An 8,063-nucleotide genomic window follows, 5' to 3' on the forward strand; every position below is an offset into this window, starting at 1 on the left:
TTTCAAGGTGCACTGATTTCATATTGTTGAAACACACGTTTTACAATCAATTTGTACAGTTAACAAAATTTTCACAATGGTCCTGAGGTGATGTACATCCTCAGCTTATGAATATAACAGGATTAAGAGATTAAAGTAAAGACAGGCATAAGAAATTACAAAAGCATTATTTGGGAACTGATAAATGTCCATGAAATCTTCACAATTTATGTTCCTCTGCCGTGGCTCCAGCCAGTCCCTCCATTTGGGGTCCCTGACTTCCCACAACAAGAAATAATAAGAGGTTAAGGTGGAGAAGAGCAAGGAAGTCCACTTTATAAAGGGGTCAGGAAAAAGCTCTCTGTGGAAGCACCATCTTAGCTGAGACCTAAAGGATGGTCTAATTTGGGGAGGTGCAGAGGAAAATCATTCCAGGCTGAAGCAGCAAGTGCAAAGGCCCTGTTGTGGAGAAAGGTTTGAAAGTCCAAGGAAACAAAGGAGGCCAGAGTGTCCGAAATAGAGTAGGCCAAGGGGAGGAGACAGGAGAGGGCTGGAGAGGCAGCAGGAACAGGCAGAAGACTCGGGGTCTCGATTTTATTATATGTGCCATGGGCAGGAAAGGCAGAGATGAGACTCAATGGACACCTTAAGATCACTGAAGCTGCCAGGTGGGAAATGGATTGCTGAGCATGGAGAGCAGGTGCAGAGGACCAGTTAAGACCAGTTAGGAGGCTGCTGCTGTAACCCAGCTGGGATAGCTGTGTCCTAGGCAAAGATAACAACAATGAGGATAGAGAGAGTGGACACGTTGGATAAAGTTTAGAATCACGGAACTTGCTGACTGGAGAAGAGGGCAAAAGCAGAGTTAGCACAACACATGAGTTATGACCAGCTTGAGCAGCTCAGCAGGGGGTGGTGCCATTTACAGAACAGAGATGGCATGGACAGAGCCCATGGAGAAGGAGGAGGAAAAAGAGAGTTTGGCTTTGGGTTTTTTTTTTAAGACAGGGTCTCTGGCTCTGTCACCCAGGCTGGAGTGCATTGGTGCAATCATAGCTCTTTGCAGCCTCAAACTCCTGGGCTCAAGTGATCCTCCTGCCTCAGCCTCCCAAGTAGCAGGATTACAGATCCTACAGATGCACATCACCATGCCTAGCTAATTTTTTTTTTTTTTTTTTTTTGTAGATAGGGAGTCCCACTGTGTTTTCCAGGCTGGCTTCAAACTCCTGGCCTCAAGTAATCCTCCCACCTCGGCCTCCCATAGCACTGAGATTACAGCCATCACCTACCACTCCAAGCCATGAGTTTGGCTTTGGATGTAACAAGGTTGAGGTGTTCATGAGTTGACAAGTGGAAAAAACAAGAAAGAAGTTGCGTGTTTAAGACTGCTGTTTGAAGGAGAAGTTTAGCCTCCAGACAAAAGTTCAGGACTCATCAGCTGAGAAATGGCACCGAAAATTATGCAAATGGATGAGCTCAGCTAGCAAACAAGTCCAGAGAGAGCAAAAAGTCCAGAGAGAGCAGCACTGGGCCATGCACCTGGCCTAATGCCACCCCACTCCTCCCAATCCCTGTGTTATGCTGGAGAGGGTTCAGCCTCTGGTGAGTTTCACCAAACCCTCACATCTCTTTCTTCTGAGACCTTCTCTAAGATCCCCTCTTTTATACTTAGTGAAATGGGATTCTCTTTTTCCCATCCAGCTTAAGCAAAAACTTTTGATTATGAGAAGAATGAGGATGCATTTAGTATCTGTTCTGCACAGCTAAGTCCATCAAAGATTTCTCATTATTCACGCCTGGCAGTCTCATTTTCTCCTTTCACCTCTCAGAGCACAGTCGTAGCCTTAATTACTGAGTTTTTCACCCCTCTAACACTAGCGATTTCCCTTATCTCAGTTCTCAGGAAGTTCTGTTCACAGATTTATCTCCTGAATCCTCACCTGGGGATAGAAATTGTTCTCTGTGGCCATGTCTTTCCCTCTAATTCTTATCAAAAAACACAGTGATCTCTGTGCATCAAATATTAAGCTCAAGCTTAACAGATCATGCTTCTGGCTTCTCTCTGTCTCTGGCTTGTGGGTTAACAGGTTTGCAACCTTTGCAGAGAAGCCACCAAATTCTCAGTAGGCCAGAGTTTCCAAGGGTGCTGGTCACTCTTGCTCTTTTTCTCCTGCTGGAAATTCAGCACTAGAGAGTGTTACACCATTGCACCTGCAGAGGAGTTCATCTGACTCCAGGGACTACAGAGGAGGGAGGCGGGTAAACTAACAGGCATTCAGAAAATGGCTACCACAATGGGGAAGAAAATGAAAGTCAAACCAAATAAGCAATGGTCAAAAAAAAAAAAAAATCTAGAGGGCAGCTGCAGTGGCTCACACGTGTAATCCAAGCACTTTGGGAGGCCGAGGCAGGTGGATCACTTGACATCAGGAGTTTGAGACCAGCCTGGGCAACACAGTGAAATCACATCTCTACTAAAAATACAAAAATTAGCCAGGTGTCGTGGTGGGCACCTGTAATCTCAGCATTTTGGGAGGCTGAGGTGGGTGGATCACCTGATGTCAGGAGTTTGAGACCAGCCTGGCCAACATGGTAAAACCCTATTTCTATTAAAAAATACAAAAATTAGCCAGGTGTCATGGTAGGCGCCTGTAATCCCAGCTACTTGGGAGGCTGAGGCAGGAGAATTGCTTGAACCCAGGAGACAGAGGTTGCAGTGAGCAAAGATTGCACCACTGCACTCCAGCCTGGGCAACAGTGAGAATTTGTCTCAAAAAAAAAAAAAAAAAAAAAACCTAGAGATGTCCATCCAGGCTGAAGAGAATATTCCAGAGCAGGGGTTGGGACACTATGGCCCATGGGCCAAATCTGACCTGCCTGCACATGTTTTTCTCAATAAAGTTTTATCGAAACACAGCCATGCCCATTTGCTACATATTGTCTATGATTGCTGGATTAGGCTGTTCTCTCATGCTATAAAGAAATACCTGACACTGGGTTTACTTGGCTCACAGTTGTGTAGGCTGTTCAGGGAACATGACAATGACATCTGCTGAGCTTCTGTGGAGGCCTCAGGAAACTTACAATCATGGCCGAAGTTGAAGTGGGAGCAAGAGAGTGAGGAGGGAGGTGTTACACACTCATAAACAACCAGATCTTGCAAGAACTCACTCACCATTGCAAGGACAGGACCAAAAGCATGATGCTAAATCATTCATGAGAAATGCACCCCCATGATCCAATCTCTTCCCACCAGGCCCCACCTCTAACACTGTTGATTACATTGTAACATGAGATTTGGGTGGGGACACATAATCAACCTATATCAGCTGCTTTCATGCTATGGGTGGCAGAGTTGAGTAACTACTACAGGAGACTGTATGGCCCATGAATTCTAAAATATTTACTATCTGATGCTTTCAAGAAAAAGTTTGCAAACCCTGCTCTTGAAAAGGAAGGGAGGGAAGAGGAGAGGAGGAAGGCAGGAAGGAGCAGAGAGGGACACGGGGCTGTATTCAAACATCTGTTGTTAAGAAAGAGAAATTCAAAGCATCTGGCATGGCCCAAGTTATCAAACTAGGAGCACTCCATTGAAGTTTCAGGACAAACACTGTGCTGAATATAAGGATGACCCCATCTGTAATGCCTAACTTTGTTTTTATTAACTTTGTTCTTAGACTTTCCTTTTCTTTTAATCACTTAGCCTTGTTTCTACCTGAATTGACTGTCTTTTAGCTAAGAGAGCTAGACAGACTTTATCTTGGCTCTTTCACCGGCAGCCCCTTCCCTCAAGGACTTAACCTGTGCAAGCTGACTCTTAGCACATCTAAGAATGCAATTAACTGATAAGATACTGTGGCGAGCAATATCCGCAGTTCCCAGGAATTCGTCCGATTGATAATGCCTAAAGCCCCGCATCTATCACTTTGTAATAGTCTTAAACCCCTTAGACCTAGAACTGTTTACTTTCCTGTAATAATTTATCCTTTTAACTTTTTTGCCTACTTTACTTCTGTAAAATTCTTTTAACTAGACCCCCTTCCCCTTTCTAAACTAAAGTATAAAAGAAAATCTAGCCCCTTCTTCGGGGCCAAGAGAACTTTAAGCATTAGCCGTCTCTTGGCCGCCGGCTAAAGAAACAGACTCTTAATTCACCTCAAAGTGTGGCATTTTCTCTAACTCGCTCAAGTACAACATTTGGAGGCCCGAGCAAGAAACGCCACCAGGCGAGAGCCGGGTTAGCTCCGGGCCTGCTGCGGGCTCCCCCGGAAGGACGGCCGGCTTGTAGCGGGGGCGCCACCTGAAAAAAAATTTTCAGGTCCCCGAAAGGTGACCATCTTCCAAAGGAGAGCGGATCGACTACTGTGTGGGTGCCCACAAAAATTCCACCTCTGAGTCCTCAACTTCTGACCCCAAGGTCAGGTAGGTCAGATCTGACTTCAGTTCTAGTAAGAGGGAAGCGGCCCTGATGAGGGCGTCCCTCTTTTGACTCTGCCCGTTTCTTTAGGACGCTAGAAGGTAGAGCTCTGGTTTTCTGTTAGGCACCTCTGTGTCTCTGTCTAGGAGGGAACTGGCCCTGACAGGGACCCTCTCTTGACTCAGTCCACATCCCAGGATGCTGGAGGACTGAGTCCTGGTTTCTGGCAGGCCAGTCACTCTCTCTCTCTCTTTTCCTATCTCTAGTCTTTCTCTTGTTCAAGTTTCTTGAAGAATCTCCAAGAAAGAAAAAAAAAAACTGTTATAAACTCTGTGTGAATAATGAATGAATGAGGGAGGACAAGGGCTTGCGCTTGTCCTCCAGTTTGTAGCTACACGGTGAAAGCTACGGAGTTCAAGTGGGCCCTCACCTGCGGTTCCGTGGCGACCTCATAAGGCTTAAGGCAGCATCAGGCACAGCTCGATCCGAGGTGGAAGTTTATACCGGCCTGCCAATGCTAAGAGGAGCCCAAGTCCCCTCAGCGGGAGTGGCCAGACAGGCATCTGACTGATACCATCACAGGACCCCCTCCCCTTGTCTGTCTAAAAAAAAAAAAAAAAAAAAAAGGGACAAACTGTCATAACTGTTTACATGCCCTAAAGTCAATTGATTATGTTGCTTGTTCTGTTCAGTGTCTATTGTCTTGTTAGTAGTTGTGAAAGTTTTCATGTCAAGACGGTGATATTGCCCAAGACGTCTAAGTAAAAACTTCTTCAAAGTCCTTAGTGCTGATTTTTTGTCACAGGATGTTAAATTTCTCATCAATCATTTAGGCTGACCACCACAGTCCTGTCTTTTCTGCCAGAAGGAAGTCAAGTGTTGTTACAAGAACAAGTGTGAAAAACATTTTCCTGATTAAGATTTCTAGCACCATGAAAGTTGTAAGTATTTAGATTGTCGTACCCCACGTCCAAGTGATTAGACCTCCTCTAAAGTAAACCAGTAGTAAGTTCAAAACAGCCACCCTGCAGATTTCCTTGCTCACCTCTTTTGTCATTCTGTAACTTTTCCTGTGCCCTTAAATAGAACACTGTGTAAAGAAACGTAAGCCCGTACTGCTTTACTTCGCTTAGATTCTTACTCTGTTCCTCTGTGGCTACTCTCCCATCTTGAAAATGATCTGAGTAGTCCTTTTCTGCCTCATCCCTGCCCCCTACCCCACTCATCTCATTTTCCAGTGCGACAAGAAGTTCAGCATCTCCAGGACTTGGCTCTGCTCTCACTCCTTAAACCCTTAAAAGAAAAAGCTACGTTTAAGCTATTTGCCTTTAAGTCATAAAGACACCAAAAGTATTTAAGGTACAGATCTAGAAGAAGAAGAAGAAGAACGCCTAGATCAAACTGACCTAGAAGATCTCAGGCTGTCTCTAGTCCTCCTCCCTCAATATTAAAGCTACAGTAGTGTAGCAAGTAGTATTAGCTGTTGTAGTTTTTCTGCTCTTTCTAGTGATGTTGATTCTGTTCTTTCAATACTCCATTCCGCCAAGAAATAAGTTTCTCTGTCCATGCTAAGTTTAATATCTATGCTCAAATCTTATTAAATTGCCTTCAAAAAAAAATAAACACTTCCTCCCAGCCTTGTAAAATTTAAAGCCCTCTCCAATGTGTGCTGCAGAATTTTCCTTTCAGTTTCTCAGAGGATTATAAAGACCGCCTTAAAAAAGGCAAGCTCCAGACACTCTGCAAAATAAAATGGCCAAAGTGTAAAGTCAAGTGGCCCCCTGAAGGGTCATTGAACCTCACAAGCTGTGTGGCAGGTTGTTACTAAAAATCCTAGCTACCCTGATCAGTTTCCCTACATTGATCAATAGCTAAGTTTGGTCAGGAGCCCCCTCCATGGCTCCGCTCATGCGCCATTCATAATTCTACCTCCAAGTTCCGCCTGAGCCAGACCGCGTTTTTGCCTCGATCCTCAGCCGGTTCGGCTTCCCCCGTACTGCCTCCCTCTGAAGAAGAGGAGAGTCTCCCTCACCCAGTCCCACTGCCTTACAACCATCCTGCTCCCTTAATGTTATCCCATGTCTCCTCGGGGACGTCCCCTGTAGGCTCGCCACCCATTGCCTCTCAATCGCGACCGCGGCAGGAAGAAGTAGCCCCTCTACTACCACTGAGAGAGTCACAAGTCCCTCCAGGTGACGAGCGCTCAGCCCCCTTCTTAGTTTATGACCCTTTTTCTTCTTCTGTCTTATATAATTAGAAAACCCATAATCCTCCCTTCTCTGAAAAGCCCCAGGCTTTGACCTCTCTGATAGAGTCCGTACTCCGGACTCACCCGCCCACGTAAGATGATTGTCAACAGCTCCTTTTAACCCTTTTCACCTCTGAAAAGAAAGAACGTATCCGAAAAGAAGCCAAAAAGTACTTCCTCACATCAGCCAATAGACTGGAAGAAGAAGCTAGAGACCTCCTTGAGGAGGTCTTTCCGTCTACCCGGCCCAACTGGTACCCAAATTCCTCAAGTAGAAAGAGAGCTTCAGACGATTTTCACCGGTATCTCCTCGCGAGTATTAAAAGAGCCGCTCAGAAACCCATAAACTTGTCTAAGATGACCGAAGTTGTCCAAAGGCCCGATAAGTCACCAAGAACGTTTTTAGAGCGCCTCCAGGAGGCTTATCGGATTTACACCCCTTTTGATCCGGCAGCTCTAGAAAATAGCCGTGCTCTTAATTTAGCATTTGTGGCTCAGGCAGCCCCGGATATTAAAAAGAAACTCCAAAAACTAGAAAGATTTGCTAGAATAAATATCTGTCAGCTTTTAGAAATAGCCCAAAAAGCTTTTGACAATCACAAGGTTAAAAAAACAAAAACAAGCAACACAGGCAGCTGAAAAGGCCGCTGATAAAGCATTCAAAAGACAAACAAAAATCTTAGTGGCGGCTATCCAAGAAGTACAGAATGAAATAGCCCGTTAATTTAGCATTAACTGAAGCCCCTGCTTTAGCCCTCCCTAATATCTCCATAAAAGCCAAGGAGTTGCTAAAGACGTGTTTACTCAGACTCTAAGACCCTAAAGACGCCCAGTGGCCTATTTATCTAAGAGGCTAGATCCTGTGGCCTCTAGATGGCCAAGTTGTCTGCGAGCCATAGCGGCTACAGCAAGCCTAGTCCAAGAAGATGGTAAGTTAACTGTAAGCCAAAATTTAACCCTTACAGCTCTTCAAGCCATAAAGACCTTACTACGAAGTGCTTCTGGCAAATAGATGTCAAATGCTCGCATCTTACAGTATCAAAGTTTACTGTTAGATCAGCCTCGTTTGACTTTCTCTCCCACAAAGTGTTTCAATCCAGCTACACTACTTCCCGACTCAGACTGCACTATTCCTGCTCATGACTGTCAAGAACTGTTAGAAACTATCGAAACTGGCCAATCTGATCTTCAAGCTGTGCCCCTAGAAAAGGCAGATGCCGCCGTGTTCACAGAAGTAGCAGCTTCCTCAAGCAGGAAGTAGGAAAAGCCAGTGCAGTTGTTACCATGGAGACAGATGTGTTGTAAGCTCAAGCTTTACCAGCGAACACCTCAGCACAAAAGGCTGAATTGATCGCCCTCACTCAGGCTCTCCGATAAAGAGTAAACGTATTAACATTTACACTGACAGCAAGTACGCCT

At 45.2% G+C, this 8,063-nt stretch overlaps 1 annotated feature.

The window, feature by feature from the left end:
• Window positions 5,947–6,465: an enhancer, noted in NCBI's record as "H3K27ac-H3K4me1 hESC enhancer chr4:9603782-9604300 (GRCh37/hg19 assembly coordinates)". NCBI's record gives its function as "activates a minimal SCP1, AML or CMV promoter by ChIP-STARR-seq in primed H9 embryonic stem cells {active_cell/tissue: H9 hESC(primed)}" and the evidence as "EXISTENCE:reporter gene assay evidence [ECO:0000049][PMID:30033119]".

This window comes from Homo sapiens, chromosome 4 (assembly GCF_000001405.40).
Source record: "Homo sapiens chromosome 4, GRCh38.p14 Primary Assembly".
Taxonomy (NCBI): domain Eukaryota; kingdom Metazoa; phylum Chordata; class Mammalia; order Primates; family Hominidae; genus Homo; species Homo sapiens.